The sequence below is a fragment of the Homo sapiens genome, chromosome 2, assembly GCF_000001405.40.
Source record: "Homo sapiens chromosome 2, GRCh38.p14 Primary Assembly".
NCBI classification, from domain to species: Eukaryota; Metazoa; Chordata; class Mammalia; order Primates; family Hominidae; genus Homo; species Homo sapiens.
In genome coordinates this window covers 8,193,502-8,216,320 of record NC_000002.12, presented here as the reverse complement: position 1 = coordinate 8,216,320, position 22,819 = coordinate 8,193,502, and the positions used below count along the sequence as shown (strand labels likewise).

The following is a 22,819-nucleotide window of genomic DNA, read 5'->3' as shown; positions in this document are numbered from 1 at the left end:
AAACCCAGGCAAGGCTTCTAAAATCCAGTAGAAGGGTGCACCTGCTCCTTCACCTTCTCCTGTGATACTTGACAGCCTTTTTCTCTCTTTTCTCCCTTACACACTTTTGGCCGGAGCATAGTGTTTCCAAGTAGGCGTGTCCTAACCCAGAAGCCTTGGTTGAAGGACGCTTTCGTTATAACGAATGAGCAATGAGCATATTCGAGGTCATGCAATTAGATTTCAAAATAGCAACTTTAGATTTTTAAAAATAAAAGATACCATCCCAATGGAAATGACATGATTCCAAATACTATGGTATAACATTTCTACATTAGTAAAAAAAAAAAAATTAAAGATACAAATAAAGAAATATTGGCAAAGAGAAATAGAAAGTAGTGCAATTTAGGCAGGAGCCAGTTCAAATAGAAAAAAAAAATTGACCAGAGATAAAAACATTGAAAATGACCAGAGAAGAGTTTTCTCTTCTCCAGAAACACCCGCATAATGAATGCTAAGTAATAAGAAAAAGACTAAGCCCCAGGATTAATCAGCTTTTATCTATTTATTGTAAAATAACACATGCATTGAAATAGAGTTTCCATAAGAGGAGGCTTGTAGTCAGCATGACCACACATCCTGGTTTGCCCAGCATAGTCTCAGTTCTTGCCTCAAGTCCTTGAATAATTATTAATAGCATTGTCTTTCACTCTCGACATGTAGCAGTTTAGACATTGAGTTATGTGGTCCTCTGTAATAGCAAGACTGAAATGTTTGTGATATAAAAAATAACAAGTATGCTGGTTATTGGTATATATACAAGGTGTTTGGAATGTAGGTGGAAGTGGCAAAAAAAAATCAACATATAACATCAACAGCTCAGGTCTGCAGTAACATTGAAAGGTTGACTGAGTGAGGATTTCAGCAGAGCGTGGGGTATAGAGCGGGGTGTAAATGAATAAGAAGAACAACTTGTATGATTATGATGTATTCCATTTATAGGGCAATAGACTTTGCATATACCTACACTCATGTGGTTTCCTTTGACTTTGGGTGGCCTAGGAGGAGGTGATATTAAGTTGATAGTGATGGAGGAGATGCCAGCCCACTCTCTGGTTTTGGTGGTGCCACACTAAAAATGAATGCCATGCCCTTATTGGTTCTGGATGGGCGGAAATGAAAACAGACTGGAACATGTTCAAAGAAGGATTGAGGTTTCAGAGACAAAACTCTATTGGGAGATTCTTAGGTAAAAAAATCTCATATCAATATTGACTCATAACTAATGGATACCAATAGCTGTAGCTTTGAAAACGACTTAGGGTCCCGCTTTTAGTGAAGATGAAAGTTTTACTCAGATTTGTAGAAAAAGGGCCAAACCCAGAAAAGTAGCTCCTCATGGGAGTATTTTCAGATGATGGGACTGGTCATCAGGAAAAAGATGACTGGTACCCAAACTCAGTGAATGTGTCTGTTGGAAAATTAAATTGTTTCTGTAACATTTTTCTTATTTATTTTTGCTCTCTATTATCCAATCAGCCAGTTGGTCTTTTTTCCCCCTACAGAAGTAGTTGAAACAAAAACATTCAAGTGCAGAGGGTTAACATTCACATGTTTACATGTGGGAGAGGGTATCAATTAGTTGTTGTCCAAGATGAGCAATTGACCAAGTGACTAGGGTGTCAGTTACTACTAACTGGGAAGGGTTTTACTTTCCACTGGCGGATAGATAGGTTCGATTATCCGAATTTACTATGTTTGGAAATGACTTCCTGGCAAGTGGTCCAGTGATGCTTGCATTCATCCCAAGAAGAGCTTATATCCCTGGCAGTTTGCTACTTGATACTCTGGAGGAGAAATCAGGACAGACTGACACTGTGGATTCACTGGTGACTCAGTTTCTCTTTCTGAGTCATCCAGGAAGACTGCCTGAGAGGAAGGGAATGAGGGTGCAAAAGGCAGCATGAGGAAATCCATTCTGAATCACTGTTCAGAGAGAGCACTAGGAGAAAGATTGGAAATGCTGAAGAGGAAGTTTCTGGGGTTTCATCTCACAATGTACAATGGAAACCATTTTCTGGGTCTCTCCACAAAATCATTAGCAGAATTTCTAACTTCCCCAATGGGATATTGGGGAAAAATGGAACTTAGTCTTGTTTTCTGGTTTCAGCCGTGGGAGGATGGGTTGAAAAGTTCAAATGAGCGAATGTATTTGGAGTCATTGGAGCTCTGCATAGAGCCTATCCTAGCTTTTGGTTCTGCTGCCTGTTGACCATGTCACTGCTGGTCTCATTGGCAGAGTCTTCAGGCTTTTTTCTTTCTTGGGCTAAAGTAAGACTGCTGCAGAATCGAGGGAACTCTGAGGTCCGGGCCCTGAAGGCAACTGCAGTCCCTTCACTAGGCAGTTCAATGGTTCTTCTGATTGTATTTTCATGAATCACTCTGCATCAAAGCAGATTTTAGTACAATAGTTCAAAGTGGTCTGTTATACAAGTTTTAGAAGACAGTTGAATGAGAATAAGCTGTAATAAGTAATATCAAACTTAGTTTTAAATTTCATGTTAGTCCGAACAAGTAGAACTGATTTTCTTAAGACACGAACCAAATTGTTTTACTCTTTTAATTAATGAGTTGATTAATAGACATTTCTGTCTATGCCTTACAATTTGAAATTTCTTGTTATCAGATTGTAGCAAGCTTCTGAATTTTCTAGACAACTCCTTGGAGGTAGAAATTCTGCTAAGGATTTTGTGGAGAGACCCAGAAAATGGTTTCCATTGTACATTGTGTCATGAAACCTCAGAAACTTCTCCTTCAACATTTTCAATCTTTCTCCTGGTGCTCTCTCTAAACAGCGATGGGTCCACATTCTTTGTTTCAGAATGGATTTCCTCATGCCCCTTTTTGTACCCTCATTTCCCTTCTCTCAGGCAGCCGCTGCATTTGGCCAACCTGCACCTCCTCCTTCCAGGTCTCTCCTTCTCATCTAGTCACTCTACTTTTCATATGGAATAATCCAGTTCTTTCTTGACTTTTCAGTGTATTTCCTTCCAGCCCTCACCTTTGCTCCCCGTCTGTCTCAGAAAACAGAGGGCCATCCTTGGGACTCAATGTCTTGAGACTGGAGAAGGAGTATTTAAAATAATGAAGAATTTTTTTTTTTTTTTTTTTTTTTTTTGAGACAGAGTTTCACTGTTGTTGCCCAGGCTGGAGTGCAATGGTGCAATCTCTGCTTACTGCAACCTCTGCCTCCCGGGTTCAAGTCATTCTTCTGCCTCAGCCGCTCCAGTAGCTTATATTACAGGCACCCACCAACATGCCCAGCTAATATTTTTTGTATTTTTAGTAGAGACAGCCTGTTGGCCAGGCTGGTCTCGTACTCCTGGCCTCAAGTGGTCCGCCTGCTTCGGCCTCCCAAAGTGCTGGGATTACAAGCATGAGCCACTGCACCCGGCCAATAATGAAGAATTTTTTAAAAATTCCTCTTACAATAAAATGGCTTGATGACATCGTTGACCCCCAGGACTGAGGAGCCATTTGTCCCAAACATCACAAAATGTAAAATTCTGTGGAATAAGAAAACCCTAATTGATATTGCAATTTTAAAGCATTTTATTTATAAAAAGAGTGGGGAAGGGTTTATAACTGTTATTTACTTTCCTGGCCTTTGATAGATATTCTTTTTCTAGTTTCTTCTGGTGGTTTACAAAATTGTTTTTTTTATATTTCTACATGCCCCGAGTTAATAACTGTCTTTTAAATAGTATCTCCTATCAAAAGAAGGTTGGGGAAATAGAGAAAGAGGGAGAGGAAGGAAGGAAATATAGGTTTACAACACTCAGCATATAAATGACTCATAATTGAAATATCAGCCGGGTGTGGTGGGTCACGCCTATAATCTCAGTACTTTGGGAGGCCCAGGTAGGTGGATTGCTTCACCCCAGGAATTTGAGATCAGCCTGGGTAACATGGTGAAAACTCATTTCTACAAAAAATAGAAAAATAAGCTGGGCATGGTGACACACACCTGTAGTCCCAGCTACTCAGGAGGCTGAAATGGGAGGATTGCCTGATTCCAGGAGGTGGAGGTTACAATGAGCCATGATCATGCCACTACACTTCAGCCTGGGCAGCAGAGCAAGACCCTATCTCAAACAAAACAAAACAAAACAAAACAAAACAACCATAATTGAAATACCTCATGCACTATGTGATAGCGAAATTTATGGAAGTCAATACCTCCTGTCCTTATGCAGGACTCAGTCTTGTGCTATGTGAGGCCACACAGTGGAATGGTTTACAGGGTTCAAGAATGAAACTCCAGAGTTTGGATATCTCTTCAAACACTTAATGGCTTGTAACTCTCAGTTAATTACTTAATATCTCTCCTCCTCAGTGTCTTAAAAATGAAGATGACAGAATTACCAAGTTGTATGGCTTAAATGGGAAAATAGATTAAAATGCTTAGAAACATGTCCAGCACATTGTAAATGCTTAATAAATGTCAGCTGCCATTATTTTCATTATAGGATACAGCTTTAATGATATTTTCACAAAGCAAACTGAATGACATGCTTCATAAGGCAGAATTGAAATGACAAGCACTAGATCTACATTATCTCCAGGTTTCTTGAAGAATTCCAGAACAGAGCCAGGCAGGGCACCTGTCAGTGGTGGAGCGTGGGTTTAAGACATGTTTGAAAGCATGGGCAGGGCCCTGCACTGTGGAATTATTTGCTAAGCTTCAGTCCGGGATACCTTGCTCTATGAAAGTCACTCTGCAGCGCCTGTCCCTGCCCTGACATGTTCAACAAAGATTTCAGTGTCCACTGTCCACCATGCACTTCTTTGGAGTAGGAGACACAGAAGTGGTCAACATCTACCACATCTCATCTCAGCTCTCTTGCCACTTGCATTCTGGCAGTGGGGTCTGGGAAGACAGCAAACAGACAACTATGAAGTCTGTAAATCTTTTGTGTTTTAAAAATTTATGCTATTTTTATTGAACTTTTTATTTTCAGAAAATTGTATATTCCCATGCAGTTGTAAGAAATAATACAGAAAGATCTCATGTACCCTTGATACAATACACACATTTTAATTTCTCTGGGATTAATGCCCTATACTACAATTGCTGGGTGCATGGTAGGTGAAAGTTTAGTTTTATAAAAAACTGCTAAACTGTTTTCCAGTGTGGCTGTACAACTTTACATTATTACCAGCAACACATGAGTGATCCAGTTTCCCCACATTCTCTCCAGTATTTGGTGCTGTCACTATTTTTTTTTAACCATTCTAATGGGTATGTAGTGATATTTCATTATGATTTTATTTTGCATTCCCCTGATGGATAATGATGTTAAACATCTTTTCATGTACTTACTTGCCATCTGTATATTGATTGCAGTGAAATATTTGTTCATGGCTTTTGTACATTTTCTAATTGGATTTTTTCCCAGTCAGTAGCTTGTCTTTTTATCCTTTTAACAAGGCCTTTTACAGAGCAAAAGTTTGTACTTTCGATGACATCCATGTTTACCATTTTTTTCTTTTATAGATCATGCTTTTTGTGTCTAGTCTAAGAAATCTTTGCTTAGCCTGAGATCCTAAAATTTTCTCTTATTGTTTTCTATACATTATATAGCTCTGTTTTTCCATTTAAACCTGTGATCTATTTGGATTTAAATTTTGTATAAGCTGTGAAGTTTAGGTTGAAGATGTTGTGGGAATATACTTGATTTTTGCATGCTTATATTTTATCTTGAGACTTGCATATTAGTTATAGAAGATTTTTGGAGATACTTTGGAATTCTTGCCTATAGATGGCCAATTACTCTAGCACCATTTGTTTAAAAAAGCTACCCTTCCTTCATTGAATTGCTCCTGTACCTTTGTCAAAAATCAGTTGGGCATATTTGTGTGTATCTGTTTCTCTATTTACTATTGTGTTCCCTAGACTTATATGTCTTCCCCTCAACGAATACCACACAGTCATGATTACTGTGGGTATAAAATGTCTTGAAGTTGTATCAACTAATTATTTTCACTTCATATTTTCTCAAAATTATTTTTGCCATTATAGTTCCTTTGCATTTTCATATAAATGTTTTAATAATCTTGTCTATATCTACCACAAAATCTTGCTACAATTTTGATAGCAATTGCATTTAACCTTTATATCAATCTGGGGAGAACTGACATCTTTACTGTGTTGAATCTTCCCATCCATGAACATGGTATGTCTTTCCATATATTTACATCTTCCTTGATTTATTTAATCAGTTTTTTTTGGTAGTTTTCAGCCTACAAGTCTTTAATATATTTTGCTATATTTGCCACTAATAATATCTTATGTTTTGAGCAGTTGTTAATAATATTTTTAATTTCAGTGTCCACATGTTCATTGATAGTATACAGAAATATATTTGATTTTGATTATTTATCTTGCAGCTTGGAACCCTTCTGAGCTGATTAATTCTAGAACTTTATTTGAGATTCTTCTGGATTTTTTACATAGATAATTATACTATCTGCAAATATGGATAGTTTTATTTCTTCCTCTTTAATCTGTATGCCTTTATTTCCTTGCTTTAGTCTATTGGTTGCCAATATTATGTTGAATAAGGCCGTGAGAGTGGACACACTGGCCTTGTTCCCAGTCTTAGGGAACAAAAGCATTGTCTGTCAACATTAAGTATAATGCTACCTTTTGCGTTTTTAAAAATAGATTTTCTTTGTCAAATTGAGGAAGTTTTCCTCTATTCTTATTTTGCTGAGAGATTTTATCATAAATAGATGTTGAATTTTGTTAAATGATTCTTCTGCATCAATTGATACAATCCTGGAATTTCTCTAGATTGTTAATATGGCAGATTACATTGACTAATTTTTGAATGTTGAACATTCATGCATTCTGGTCGTGTATATCTGGAATAATTGGTGATGGTATCATAATTTGTTATGGTATATAATTTTCTTTATATATTGATGATTTCTATTTCCTAATATTTTGTTAATGGTTTTTTACACCTACATTCAAGAGGAATATTGATTTGTAGTTTCCTTTTTTCCTACTATCTTTGTATGGCTTTGTTATCAGGATAGTAGTAATAGCTCCATAAAATGAATTGAAAAGTATTCTCTCCATTTTATTTTCTGGAAGAGATTGTATAGAATTGGCTTTAGTTATTCTTTAACCACCTGGAAGAATTTTCTGGTGAAACTATCTGGGCTTAGATATTTCTACTTTTGAAGTTTTAAAATTACATATTTAATTTTCTTAATAGTTCTAGTGCTATTCAAAGTATGTATTTGATATTGAGTGAATTATAGTTGTCTGTGCTTTTTCAGGAATTGGTTCATTTTATCTATGTTTCTGCAGGGTTTGTAGTGATATGCCCAGTTTCATTACTGACATCAATTATTTATGTCTTCTGTATTGCTAGAGGCTTGCTAAATTTTATTGGTCTTTTCAAATAACTGTTTCTTTGCTTCATTAATTTTCTCTATGTTTTCTGCTTTCAATATCATGGTTTTCTGCTCCAATCTTTAGTATTTCCTTCCCTTTCCTTGTTTTGAGTTTATTTTTCTCTTTCCTGTTTAGATTCCTGAGGTGAAAGCATATATTATTGGGTTGAGGCTTTTCCTGCTTTGTAATGTAAGCACTGAGTACTATAAATTTTTCTTCAGCACTGCTTCAGCTATGTTCCACAAATTTCACTGCATTTCCATTTTATTCAGTTCAATGTTTTTATTTGTTTCTGTTTTAACTTTCTTTGAGACTTCCTCTTTCACACATGGGTTATTTGGAAGTCTGCTGTTTAGTTTCCAAGTTCTTGAATATATTTCTGTTATATTTCTGTTATTGATTTCTGTTTTGGTTCTATTGTGGTTGGGTTTATGGTCCAGAATATGATCTGTGTTGTTATTATATGAGAATTCCTAGAAAGTATGTGTTTTCTGTTGTTTTGGGCCAGAGTATTGTATAAATGTCTATTAGATACATTTGATTAATGGTGTTACAGTTCTTATATATCCATAATGATGTTCTGTCTAGTTCTAGCAACTGTCAAGAAAGAGGTGTTAAAGTTTTCAGCTATCTATTTTTCTCCTTTCAGTTCAATCAGTTCTTGCTTCACATATTTCACAACTTATTGTTTGATGCCCGCACATTTTTTATTTGTATATCTTTTGGTGAATTAACCATTTGGTCATTGTATAATGCCCCTCTGTGTTCTTGGTAGTTTTATTAGCTCTAAAATCTACTTTTTCTTTGTCTTTTCTTTTTTCTTTTTTTGACAGAGTCTCGCTCTGTTGCCCAGGCTGGAGTGCAGGGGTGTGATCTCAGTTCGCTGCAACCTCTGCCTCCCAGGTTCAAGTGATTCTTCTGCCTCATCCTCCTGAGTCGCTGGGATTACAGGTGTGAGGTATCATGCCTGGCCCAAGATTTACTTTATTTGATATTAATATAGCCACATCTGCTTACTTTTAAAATTAATGTCTGCATGGCATATTATTGCTATTCCTTAATTTCCAATTTACCTCTATCATTATAGCTTACCCACTGATGTAGCTTTAGCAGCTGCTGTCCCAGTTCTCAAATATCCAGGCTAGCTTGGTGGCCCCTTTATCCATGGGTCATTTATTTAATCCAATCTGCCAATCCCTGCCTTTAATTAGTGTTTTTAAACCATTTACATTTAATGTAATTATTCATAGTTTAATCTGATGTCTGTTATTTTATTTTTTGTCTTCTCCTTATTTTCTGTTTCTTTTTTGCTCTTGTCTTTCTTGTCTTGTTTTTTCTCTTCCCTTTAACATTTTTTAGATCTCCTTTTGATTAATTTATAGAGTTTTTGATTATATCTCTTTGTATGAACTTTTTAGTTATTGCTCAAATATCACATTTTATATTTATAACACAGGCTACTGATGTTGACATTTTAACAGTTCAAGTGAAGTGTAGAAATCTTACCCATTATCCCTCCCTATTAATAATATAATTGTCTTAAATGTCTTTTCCTACATATATTTATAACAAGTATATGAGATAGCCTTACAATTTTTGCTTTAACTATCAATCATGCATTAGGAAACTCAAGAAGAAAGGGAAATGTATTTAATTCATATTTTCACTCTTTTTAAAATGAATTTCATAAAATCTAGATTGGCAAATTTAGAAATAAAATTTCTAAATGTTGTCATGTCTAATGCTTATTGTCTGCTTATTCTATGCCAGGAAATGTTCCAAGTCCATTACCTGGACTCATTCATTTGATCTTCATAACAAATTGGGGAGCAGGGTATTCGGAGTGCTGAACTCTCCCCATGCCTGGTCTACAGCTGAGGAAGGGGAGACTCGGCTATAAACACTCTATAAAAAACACTTTATAAAAAATTTCTTCTGAACAATTACAATGATGCCTGTACACTATTTGATCTACGTACAGTTATCTTACTGACAAGTCTCTTTTCCAGATCTGCACAGATGTAGTAAAATGACTTTTGTTGTATCTCAACATTTCTTCATCCCTCATCTCTTTTTTAGAGATGTTGCCTGATATATTAAGTAGGTCTATTTGCAAGTGAAAGGTGTTTAAATGCAACTGTCATATCTGCTGCCACTGGAAAAACTTGGGTTATTCCACTTGAATTTTAATGATGTTTTTAAATCTAATGTACATTTACCAACTGATAGTGATGACCAAGATGAGACCTGAACTGTAGGATGGAATTCTGGCACATTAGATTATTTGAACTTTTTTTTTTTTTTTTTGACTCTGATGTCTATTATCTGATGTGTGATGAGGACATCTCTGAACTTCATCATTCACAGATGATTCTGTGATTTTTACAATAATGATACTCAGGTTCAGCTGAAAAACATTTGAAAACACTGTCCCAAGCCTCAGTTATTTGTCTCTCTTTACCTTTATTGGAGTGTACAAGTTGATCATTTTTCAATGTTTCTGCCTGAATAAATCAAAGTCATCAACCTTTCTCCCTTTGGGTTTAGTCAGTTACCTTTGCTGATTCTTTGATGGCAGCACATGCTGATATAGTTCAGCAATATCTGGAAAGGTGGCTGGCATACCCATTCTCACCATCTCCTATGTGAGAGGCAGCCAGGATGACCCCGTGTGAGGAGGAGCTGTCCTTGCTCAAACACCATGCCCTGCAGCGTGAGTGGCTCTCCTCTACTCTCCAGCCACTGGGTTTTCCCACTCCTGGAGCCAACATTCTTGAGCCACTAGAGGACACCAAGTGCCATGTTTAATTACATTTTCTCCTTTCCTCAATGTCTACCCTGGCTTTGAGGACAAAACAAGTTTGAGTTTTATTGTATAGCATCAGTGAATAAATGGATAAAGAAAATATGGTAAATATACATATTAAAATACTATTCAGCTCTAAGAATAGTACTAAATCTTATCCCATTTGCAGCGACATGGATGGAACTGAAGGTTATCATATTAAGTGAAATAAGTCAGGCACAGGGATATTGCATGTTCTCATTCATAGGTGGGAGCTAAAAAAGTTGATTTCATGGAAGCAGAGAGTAAAATGATAGAGGCTGAGAAGTGTAGGGGGGATGAAGACAGGTTTGTTAGTGGGTATGAACATAGAGTTAGTCAGAAAGAATAAGTTCTAGTGTTCAATAGCACAGTCAGGTGAATAGAGTTAACAATATTGTGTGTGTGTGTGTTTATATATATATATATATATATATATATATATAATGATTATTATTATTTGAGATGGAGTCTCGCTCTGTTGCCCAGGTTGGAGTGCAGTGGCACGATTTTGGCTCACTGCAATCTCTGCCTCCCAGGATCAAGAGTTTATCCTGCCTCAGCCTCCTGAGTAACTAGGATTATAGGCATGCCACGAAGCCTGGCTAATTTTGTCTTTTTAGTAGAGACAGGGTTTCTCACCATATTGGCCAGGCTGGTCTCAAACTCCCGACCTCAACTGTTCCACCTGCCTTGGCCTCCCAAAGTGCTGGGATTACAGGCATGAGTCACTATGCCTAGCCACAATATATTGTATATTTCCTAATAGGTAGAATAAAAGATTTGAAATGTTTCTAACACACATAAATGATAAATGTTCAAGGTGATGGATATGTTAATTACCCTGATTCGATCATTGCACATTGTGTGTGTGTATCAAAGTACCATATGTACCCTGTAAATATGTACAATTATGATGTATCAATAAACACACACACAATAAACTTGTTGTATGCCTTTGTGAACCAAACTCGAAATGGAGTTTAAGAAGCATATTTCTAGGATAAAACCAGAAAGGCTATTTGAAAGTCCCTGAAGAGAAACTTGGCTTTGAAACAGCTTCTGCATTTTTCTACTTCCATATAATGTGATGATAACATTTCCCTCCCATGATTATGTGAGAATTAAGTGTAAAAGCTGACACTTACTGCATGATGATGCATCACGAGTACTGCCTGAAGACCTTTAGTATCCACAACAACTGACATGTTGTGTTGAACACACTCATACTTCATTTGATTGAATGGACTTACAGCCTACCTTACTGACACAGAGACCCTCTTAATAGGGAGCTTTCAGGATGTCCCCTGACATTTTATGGTGATTTATATATTTTAAAATATGAACCTATAGTTATTGCCTCAAAACACTTTAAATAAAACAAGCACGAAGTGGTTTTTTTTTTTTTTGTAACTGTGGTCTCTTCATTTGTCAGATTATTTGTGAGTCAGCTCACAAATAACAATTCACAAATTAGCTCACAAATAATTCACAAATCAGCTCACAATTAATAATTCACAAAGTAGCTCACAAATAATAAACAAGCTATGAATCCATAAATTCATAGAATATGAATGTAGTAATTCTTTAAAGAAAAGATTCTTAAAGTTAGAAAGGACCTTAATCTTTTCTCTTAAGCCATTTCTAATTTGAAGCAGGAATTAGAATCTGTCGTTTTCAGGCACTGCTTCAATACATGCTTCATTCTTGTATTCGTTCACTCAATGAGTATTGACTGTGCATGTACTATATCCACGTGATTCGTTAGGCACTGGGTAAAAAGGTCCCTAAGAAACTTAAAATCATGTGAAAGAGCATTTAAAGGTGGCAGGACCTACATTGAGTGTTGTCATGTCTAATGCTTATTGTCTGCTTATTCTATGCCAGGAAATGTTCCAAGTCCGTTACCTGGACTCATTCATTTGATCTTCATAACAAATTGGGGAGCAGGGTATTCGGAGTGCTGAACTCTCCCCATGCCTGTTCTACAGCTGAGGAAGGGGAGACTCGGAGCAATTCACTGCGACAGAGTTCCCACCCAGGCAGCCTGAATCCAGAATCTGGGCTTTTAATGAGGATGCCATAGAAGTTGCTAGAACGTAGTGAAGAAGTACCCAATTCAGCAAAGGGGGCTGGGGGCTGTGAGCTGTCACAGCTTGCTTCTTATAAGGTGGTAGCCAGAAACCAGGTATGGGGAACATGCCTTATACAAACAGGGCATTGGCCTTGGGTAGTTCATGAATGTATTCCTGAAAAATAAGGAAACACAAAATGAAAAGCTTCCAAATGTTATAAAAAGAGGGGAGGAAGGGAGTGCGTGAGAGGAGCCCACAGAACAGTACCCTGTGGGGAGATAAGAGAGCAGTCAGTGAGAATGGCAGGTTCTCTTTCTCATTTCCGTGGCGATGTCACTGAGACATATGCTCCAGCCGTTTCCATTCCTGCCGTTTGCCAAGATCCACCCGCTCCGCCCACCAGCCCCCACGCAGGCCGTTCTCTCCGCTGACGCCCTCACCCTCCTAGCCTGGCGACACTGTCCTCCTCTCAGCGCCGTTTCCTGGGGAGCAGATCCTGGCCCCACGACTGCGTGCATCCCTCCATTGCACATTTTCCTAGCACCCGCGGGTTTTCCCTCCTAGCATTCCCTGTAACTGTCATGAAGTCACTATTTGCTAAGTGCCTGTTAATAGACTGACTGGTCCTTCCTCCCGATTCTGAACTCTATGAGGACAAGCGCTGTCTCTCCTTTGTTGACCACTGCCCACCTGTCACCTAGGATAGGGCCAAGTTCAAAGTAAGTGCCTGCTGTCAGTTGGAATGTGGCCCCTCCGCACATCCCACCAAAAAAAAAAAAAAAATGAAATAACAAGAAAAAGAAAAACAGATATGTTAGAGTCCTAAACCCTGGCACCTTAGAATATGACCTTATTTGGATATAAGATATTTACACCAAGTTAAGGTAAGGGCATTAGAGTGGCCCCAATCCAGGATGACTAGTGTCCTTCTAAAAAGGGGAAATTTGAATACAGGCATACACACAGGAGGGGGCCATGTAAACATGAAGGCTGAGATCCGGATGATGCTTCTATAAGCCCAGGAACACTGATGGCGGCCAGCGAAGCACCGGGGCTGGGGGAGAGGCCCAGGACAGAGTCTCCTTCACAGCCTGAGAGGGAACCAACCCTGCCCACACCTTGATCTTGGACTTTTGGCCTCCAGACCATGAGATGGTGCATTTCTGTTGTTAAGCACCCGGTCTGTGGGACGTTGTTGTAGCAGCCCTAGCAAGGCAGCATAGTGTCTTCTAACTATTTATGGGATGCAAGAAGGAAGAAATGATGGGTGGAATCACTCAGCCCTTCCCCTTACTTAGAATAAGGGTGCATAGTCAATGTTTGTTGCTAATGCGATGCTTAGCCCGTGCCATGATTGTTTGTTTGTTTGCTTTATTTCTCCTTGTTAATTTCAAAATCAGAAGAGTTTAACTAACTTTAGCTCTCAAAAACCCCAAAATGATGTCTAACCTCCACAACATTTTGAATATTTTTCACCCTGCTGGGTTTTTGACCCGAGAGAAGGAAGCAGAAAAAAGATTGTGGTGTCTCCTGAGACCATGTGTGACACCAGGTATAATCATCAAATCTCAAAAATCACATATCGTAGAACCAGCATGCAACTGTAAGGGGAAAATATGAGTCATCCAAGCATTTGCGATGATCTTGTCATGCACGGATTGGTACCTGGCAGGCTTAGTTTTCTCTAGGATTTCTGCCACCAACTGTCACTACATACTTTTCAATTTGCGCTTCCCCATCACTGCCAAGAATGAAGTACCTCCATGCGACTTGTAATTACCGAACTGCTCCCACCACCCCCTCCCCAAATCCCTGGAGGTTAAATTTGCACATTCTGACAAAGTAATTTCTTGATTTTGTTTTCTGTAGGAATCATTGAGGGTTTACTGAACGAGTGCTATTGTAAACAGAGTCAGTGTCAACACCAGAAAGTGCTTCCTGATCTGGCAGTTTAATTGCTCTCCTGATTTCCATGCTTTTCACTCTTTATGAAATGTGACGTTTTCTCTACATCTTGTACAAATACAGGTATGAAAACATTGGGCTGGTTTATAAGTTAGAGCTAAAGTCTAGTTAAATGGCAAAGGTGATTTTTGCAAATAGATACATAGCTTTTTTAAAGCCAGCTTCGAGGTTTCTCAGGCATTCCTGAATGGCTTGAGATTGAGGTTCCAGGAGGCAGAACATCGAGGGAAGGCAAGGGATTCTCTGGAATGTTATTCAGTGGACCTGAGCACTCAACTGCCACTTGAAACGTTAGTTTGTCGTTGGCCCTTTGGCCAATGGCACAAGTACCTCGGCTGCACTGGGGGCTGCCTTTCAGCTACATTAACCTGCTTTATAGTTCATAACGAGCCTTGGTGATTGAAGTCCACATAGCCACTGTGGGTTCACCTCTTGTCCAAGACACAGGCATGTCTCTCGACCCCCTGACCTCCCATTCTCTGAGTTCTTGCTTTGCCCCCTACATCTGTTCTGTATCTTCAGATTCCCACCTCTGGCTTTTCCCTGGATTCTTGATCTCAGCCTGTCAGCACACTTAAATGTACACCATCCTTAAAACAATAAAACAAAACAAAATCCTTTTAACAAGACTCCTCCTTGGAGGACAACCCTCTTCTCTCATTTCCTTTCTTGCAAAAGCCTGCACAATGGACATGTATCATCTTCTCTTTCCCACTTTCCATTCACATTGGCTACTACTCTGCCACCTCCCTGTACCTGCTCTCATTAAAGTAACCACTGTTTCTCTAATTTCCAAACTAGGAGGCTGTCACTCCTCATCCTCCTTGGCTTCTGAAGCACCTAACAGTGTTGAGTGAGCAGCTATGTGCTGAGCTAAGACAAGGGAGTTTGGTAGCTAGTAAAAGGACAAATGGGTATCCGAGGTCAATGAATGGTTCTGAGGTCAAGTATAATTCTCTGCTGGGAATCATTGACAGACTCAACTTCATCTCTTTTTCCCTGAACTGGCAGTTATTTTAGGATTTGTACTCATATCTTTCTCTTCTCTTCTTCATTTTCTTCTCTCATCTTATCTTCTCTACTTACTTATATGTTCTTCCTGGGCGACATCATCATTTTTTTTCCAGCTTCAAGTATATCTTGAATTCCAAATCTTTATTTTTACTAAAGCCATTGGCTGAACTATAAACCTATATTTTCAAATGCTCATTGGACATAACTCCAGTAAAGTGTTATAGGCATTTCACCTTAACACACAAAAGGAACTTGATAATATCTTTAAGTTTGTTCCTCTCTTTATATTCCTTTTTTGTTTGAGATGGAGTCTTGCTCTGTGGCCCAGGCTGGAGTGCAGTGGTACAACATCCACTCACTGCAACCTCTACCTCCCAGGTTCAAGTGATCCTCCTGTCTCAGCCTCCCAAAGTGCTGGGATTACAGGCATGAGCCACCATGCCCAGCCCCTGTCCTTATGTTCTTCATTTCAGACAAATGGCAGTGCCACTTTCCAGTATTCTAAGCTAGAATCTTGCATATGTCCCCAATTTTTCTTCTATTTTATTTCTTACCTTCAATGTCATCAAGTTTGGTCAATTCTTCCTCATACACAACTCTTAAAAAATTCATTGTTGCTTTTCCATTTGCACTGCCATAGTTTTGGTTCTGCCCTTAGCATCTGATATGGTTTAGCTCTGTGTGTCCACCCAGATCTCATGTTGACCTGTAATCCCCATGTGTCAGGGGAGAGACCGGGTGGGAGGTGATTGGATCACGGGGGTCGGATTTCCCCCTTGCTGTTCTTGTGATAGTGAATGAGCTCTCCTGAGATCTGATGGTTTAAAAGTGTGGCACTTTCCCCTTCACTCTCTCTCTCTCCTGCTGCCTTGTGAAGATGTGCCTTGCTTCCCCTTTAGCTTCAGCCGTGATTGTAAGTTTCCTGAGGCCTCCCCAGCCATGCAGAACTGTGAGTCAATTAAACCTCTTTTCTTTATAAATTACCCAGTCTCAGGTAGTTCTTTATAGCAGTGTGAGAACAAACTAATACAGCATCTCTAAGGCCCGATAACCAAAACCTAGTCCAGCACTTTTTTCCTCAAGGAAGTGCAAATCCCTTGGGCGTCATGTTCAAATGTGGATCCTGACTTCGAAGATCTGTGTGGGGCTTGAGATTCTGCAATCTGGCAAGCTCCTAAGGGCTGCTTCTTGTTCCTGGACCTCACCCTGAACAGTAATGACCTCAACAACTACTACCCTTCTCTCAGGCCTCATTCCCTCTGCCTTACCACTTGCCCACCCTCTGTTCCACCCCAGCCTCCACCCTGCACACCACTCCTGCACTCCCAAGTCATTCTCTATAATCGTGACTATCTTCTAAATTCTTAAAGTGGAAATATGATAATGTCACTGTCCTGTGTTAACAGCTTTAATGGGGGTCCCATAGCCTTCAGGATAAAGTTCAAGCTGCTTAATAGGAGATGCAGGGTGACTTTGATTATCTGAAATCCACCTGCGTCTTATCCCCCATGCCCTCTCAGTCTGCAGAAAATGTATGCACTTTTTTTTTAAGAGAAAAGGATCAAATAATGTGCTGGATTCTCAGAGTGTTATTTGGGTTTGAGAAAGAGGAATGACCACAGTCCTTTCTGCATTAGGAATTTTTTTTGTTTGTTTTTAGAGTATGATTCAGAGACCAATTTATTCCCAAAGAAAATTGCCATTACATCTATTAAGTTTTTATATTAAAACATTTTCTACCAAGGGATGACTGTCACTCTGAGCAACTGTGCCACTGTGAATGCCTCATGTGTCAGCACAGCTTATTATCTAGCTCTGAGCAGAATGGGAGTGCTGCTGAATTAGTCTTGAGGAAATTTTATAGATGAGGAAGCAGTAGCCCACATAGATTAGACAATTTCCCTGAATTTATAAAACTCAGACAGTGCCAGAGACTAGACTAGACCTTGAATCTTTGGGACTCTTGTCTAGTACTCTTTGCACTGAACCATGAAACACCATCCTTCCTTAGCAAGGAAAGATGGGGTCAAAGTGAGATGTGACAATGAGGAAGTGTGGCAAGTTAAAGCAGCAACAAAGCTACATGCCTCAGCTTCTGGGGTTCTTCCTTCTTCAATATTTCACTTCAGGGGAAGATGTGGCAGTGCTTAGATGCTAACAGAAAAAACCAGGAGACACAGAGCTGGTGTGGCAATGCAGAAAAGGCCCGTGGATTGTGGCTGGAAGAGGTGGCCAGGAGTGCCAAGTGTCAGGGTGGTGGCCTGTAAGCCACAGGTAGGGGAATGTAGCTTCGTAGCCTGGTGAAGAGGGGACAGGGCTGGGGACACGTCCAAGGAGTCATGTTGGTTGCATTCCAATATTTTGCTGCACTGATGAAGTGACAGGGAAGTGAGTTTCTGCCCAGCATTGAGGAATCACTCACAATTCCGTTGTGCAGGAATGAGAGAAGACGCACTGTGCTGTGGGAGGCGTTGCTCCAGGACTCCAGCCGAGTTTCCGTGACTACAGAGCATGGATATGGAGGATGCGATTCCTCCATAGTACAGGAGACTGATCAGATGACCTTGGGTTTCTCCTTCTGCACCCATTGCCAAGACCATATGTGCTTAAGTGAGGAAGCTGTGAATAAGGGGTGCTTCCCTCATGGCCAATTCAGGGATCATAGATGTAGGTGAGGAGGTACACGGATGACAGCCAGGATCAGGGAGGGCATTTTTAACCAGGCTGCCTCCCCCGAATCTGCTCTAAAGATGGGACTATTTTCTCCGTATTATTTTATAGGATCTTTTATGGCTAACTCATCTTATAGATTAAGCCAGTTGTCAAAATGTTTCTGTAAAGGGTTAGAAAGTAAATTGTAGCCTTTGTGGGCCACAAATTTTCTGTGTTAACAACTCAACCACATTGTTGTAGCACAAAAGCAGCCCACAAACAATCTGTGAATGGATGGGTATGGCTGGGTGTCAATAAAACTTTATTTAGTTTTAAACAAAACAGACGGCAGGTAGAGTTTGGCCCAAGGGATTAAATTATCTTATGGAACAATTGGCTTTGTATTTAATTTGATACATTGGTTGAAAAACAGAAAATGGATTCTGCATGTATTGATTTTCTACAATGTGCATCTGACTATATGTGTTTATTTGTATGATCTTTGTTAGTCCTAGAAATAAAAAAGGCTTCCATGTGAGTGCTAGTTTAGGCTTTGGCTAATGTATTAAAACATTGCCTCAATGTCTGGTCAATCTTGGTCAAGAGGACAAGGGCTACTTCTAGTTCCTGCAAGAGGCTTCAAAACCTGCCAGCATGGTGAAGGGAGGGATATGTGGATATGTGTTGACTTTCAAAGCTGTAAATTTACTATCAGGATTATTCATCTTTAAAGACACTGATTTATCTTTTGGGGACATTTTTAAAATGTCAAAATAAATAGCACTTGACATTAAAAAAAATAGTATTGAGCACTCAGAGAGGGTGAGTAGGAGAAGCATCTGGACATGTGGAGGCTGGGTTCCTGGTACCCCCGTTCATTACTCTTTTTGGAATGATGGCAAAAGGTGGCCACCACTACATCTTTGGATCTGTTTAATCTCCAGCTGTGAATATGTGATCAGTCATCTCTTGGACAACAAAAGACTTTTCCCAGGATGAGCAGTGATTTCCATGTGGTTGCAAGGGCTTTATATATGTGCGGTTCTGACAGGGTTCGGCCCTGATGATGTCATCTCTCGACTTGGTGTGACTTACAGTGAGCATGATTCAATGGCTTGCAAAGGAGATCCTGCACTTACCACTTCTACTATTGACTTTAACTAACTTATTGTCTTGGGTGAGTTGTGCCCCAGTTTTCTTCCTAATAGAAATGAGGAAAATAATACTTACAAGTTTGCAAAGCTCCCTGAAATTTCAAGTGTTACATACTATCAAAGTGAAAATTATTATAATCCCTTCTCAGTTGCTGCCTTCTATTTACAAACAGCTGACTTCTGCCTCCCACTTCTGGATGAGACATAGAACCAGCACCCAAAGCAGACTCAAAAGTTTTTAAAGGAAACGTGTGTTCCATGGAACATGGAAAATTAGGAGCGCAACTTTCAGAGTGTAAGGAAACCGAGATTACCTGCTGCAGACGTTTCAGGCTATTTGGCTAAAATTCCTTCATGGATGGCAATGTATAGGGTGAATTTAGCTCAGCAAATAAACACTTTTCAATTCAAATGTGAAACTAGGGAGCTATCTAAGGCAAAACCGTTTTTGAAGAATCTTTATTCTCTGTAGTTTCTTGGAATTAAAATTTCTTGAAAGAATTTTATTTTATTTTTATGCATTTTAAAGCACATCATTGCAAGTACATAAAATCCACCTTCAGAATCCCCACTTCCACCATTTTCAAAATGGATAGGGCTGGCTGAGCACTGGCATGACATTCGTGGGGGTTTTCTAAGTTGCATTCTGTCATGTGCTTGGTGAAATATGGCAAAGCATATGGACGGTGGGTGATTCATCTCCATGTAAGATTTCCTGGGAAAAGCTGGGATGCATTCAGTTTGCAGAATTTCCCCCACGGTAACCCACTGAAGCTTTTGCCTTAATAAAATGGAAGTATTTGCTCTTTCCAATTTTCAAGTGAATGATCCCCCAGTGTGCTTTTTAAATGAATGTTTTTCTCATTTTTTGACTTTGTGTGACCCCCATCTCCTTTTCTAGTCTTAATCATGAGGGCATCACCCAATTCAGGCAGCTGGAAGGGGTCTTTTAGTTTACATGTTCAGTGGAGGTGCTGGGGACCAGTATCGAGTCTCTTGCAGTTATAGGTGTCCCTAAGTGAAAGGACATTATTAAAACTGGAAGAATATTTCAACAAATATATTGCAGCATATAGCTTAGTGATGGCAGAAGGTAAATATTTAGGCAGCACAAGCTGTTGATTGCAAAAACTAATTCTGTGGGAGATCAGGGTCAAGTGCACATACTAACAGTCTTTGATTTACAAGCATTATTCAAAAATCGAGCTTAATTTACAAAATGCTAAGTGGTCATGTTTGCTCTTGCCTTGAAGTACACATCTTTCATATTTGACTTCAAAGCATCAAAGACATGACTGGAAGAAGCTTGAGATGTGGAAGTTTTTCACAACAATATGAAAATGCAAAAAAGCAGAAAATTTTTCTTTAAGTAGTTTGCTATAATTAAGCATTTATTTTACATTCATAAAATGCAAAATGGCGAACCATTGAAAATTGTTTCCTTTAATTTGTTTACTTTTAAGCTTTAAAAATGTTTAATGTCAGAAGAATTCATGCTATTTGGTTCAATGAAAAAATCAGGATACAAATATGTACACTATGTTTCCATGTCTATAAATTTATCAGCAATATGAGGTTAAGCCATATGAAATTGCTGTTTTGTATGTCAAAATGTGGTTTGATATAATATCAAATGTTTCAAACTATATGGACAAGAGAAAAATGCACACACACAGAAGAGAAATACCAAAAGTTTGGTATGATGATTATAGACAACTTAAATATTTTTTCATTTTCTTATCTATACTTTCTAGAATAAATGTGTATTGCTTTTTTATAAGAATTTTTTTTTTTTTTTTTTTTAGATATTCCAGTGGCAAACCTTTCATTGCAAAAAGAATGGGACCAGGAGTTTATTCATACTGTTTGTCAGTGAATTTGAGGGTTTTTAGTCTCTGGTCTCCAGAGTTCTTTAGAAATTACCAGACTTAGTGAAAACACCTTCCCTTTCATGCCCTTCCCTTCTTTTACCTAAGTCGACTCCCCCAACTTAACTATGAGACACAAGCATCTGGCCCTAAGCAGGTGCTCAATCGATACTTGTGAATGATTGGAGGAGTGAATACATGATGGGAAGAAGGATTAAATAAATATTATGCAATACTTTCTGAAGTTTTGCTGATTTCCTCCCAATTGAACCAACTGGCTTGTCCTAAGAATAGGCTGTGGCTGGATCATAAGTCCATATACAGGTAATGTTAAGAAGAAAATCAGGCCTACAGAAAAAGACAAAAGCAAAAAAGACCTCCAATTTAGTTTAGAAGTCTCTTTGCAATTCTTTTGGATAGGATATTATATACCAGGGTAAAAGTCACAGCTCATTATGAATTTCTGGAAGATGTTAGCACTCCTGGCCCCTTACCATAGAGCATTTGGAAACAGCTTGACCTACAGGGCAAGTGAAGGGTGCCTGGCCTGGGCCCCTACTCCACTTTTGGGTCCTCCAGAGACTTGCGCGCGCGCACACACACACACAAACACACACACACACACACACTCAGAACTTCAGCTGTTAAGAGAAGCACTTAAAAATACCCCTTCCCAGGGGTAAGTGTTAACGATATTTTATATGTCCAGTTTTCCTTTCAATGACTATTCACTTCTACTTTGGAAGGAGGATGGAGGGGAAAAAAGATAGAAAGGGAGAAAGAGAGGAAGGAAGGAAAGAAGGGAGGGAGGGAGGGAGGAAGGGGAGAGGAGGGAGGAGGATGGTGGGAGGAAGGAAGGAAAGAAAGAAGGAAGGAAGGAAAGAAAGAAGGAAGGAAGGAAGGAAGGAAGGAAGGAAGGAAGGAAGGAAGGAAGGAAGGAGTAAGTAATAGGAAGGGAAAAAGAAGGCAGGGGGAGATTTTTAGCCATGTGAAATCGTTCAGTCTTTTCTTTTCGCAAGTGGTAGTAACAAAAGTCCAAAGGGTAGATATTGATTATTTACCAGGTCACATGATCGATAGAGTATTATTTCCATCCTGTGATTACCTCTAGGTGAGGCAGGCCAGCCTAGATGGTTCTAAGCCTCTGAGTAGAGCATGTCCTGAAATTAACTTGAATAACCTAATTTCTGCCTTCAAGTCGATCTCTTCCTACACACTGTGCTAAGGGCAAAACAGAAGTGAAACAAGAAAGATTAACAAGATCTGTGCCAGCTATTAGAGGAGAAGTCATTGTTTGTTCGCATTTAAGGAGAAAAGGACACTATTTGGCAGCGTGGGGTGCCTCTGTGCCGGCTGGAGCTAATGATCGTCGTCAGGATTGAGCTGGGAGGCAGGTGCCCATCGCCTGGCCCTGACTGCTCTTACTGACAGGTGCTAATGGGAGGGGCAGGACACAGCTGCCTGAGCAGGAATCCCATTATCCTTTGCTGAGTATTGATTCGCGCTGTGGGATGCTTCCTTTCTGGCTGTGTTAATTTTCACAATGCACATTTACCTCGTCCTCGGCACACAGAGAGAGTCAGAGGTGCTTGGGGTAAACGTAATGGGCTCTGCCTTCCAGTCTGCAGAGGTTTTGTCTGTTGGGATGTAGGCTTTCTCTAATTATAGTGCCTGCTTGGGGACGAGGTCTGGAAGAATAGCTTTGCCACTAACATAATTGCCTGAGGTGCATAGCAAATTAATCTAATGACATGAGGTGCATTTGGAAAGTTGGGGTATTTTTTGCATCCATAAACAGTAGTTCTTATTTTAAAACTTGA

The 22,819-nt window shown here is 39.3% G+C and overlaps 1 long non-coding RNA gene across 2 annotated transcripts in view, besides 1 other annotated feature; it reads left to right on the top strand.

Moving 5' to 3' along the window:
- Positions 1–22,819, top strand: part of LINC00299 (long intergenic non-protein coding RNA 299) — a 320,649-nt gene that overhangs the window by 112,099 nt on the left and 185,731 nt on the right. The window contains exon 10 of one of the 2 annotated variants that reach the window (NR_152741.1): positions 8,281–9,178. The exons of the other annotated variant lie outside the window; for it this stretch is intronic. This is a non-coding gene — a long non-coding RNA (long intergenic non-protein coding RNA 299). Of the gene's footprint in view, positions 1–8,280; positions 9,179–22,819 lie in introns of those variants that run through there. 2 annotated transcript variants of the gene reach the window in all.
- Positions 22,175–22,750: an enhancer, noted in NCBI's record as "OCT4-NANOG hESC enhancer chr2:8333701-8334276 (GRCh37/hg19 assembly coordinates)". NCBI's record gives its function as "activates a minimal SCP1, AML or CMV promoter by ChIP-STARR-seq in naive H9 embryonic stem cells {active_cell/tissue: H9 hESC(naive)}" and the evidence as "EXISTENCE:reporter gene assay evidence [ECO:0000049][PMID:30033119]".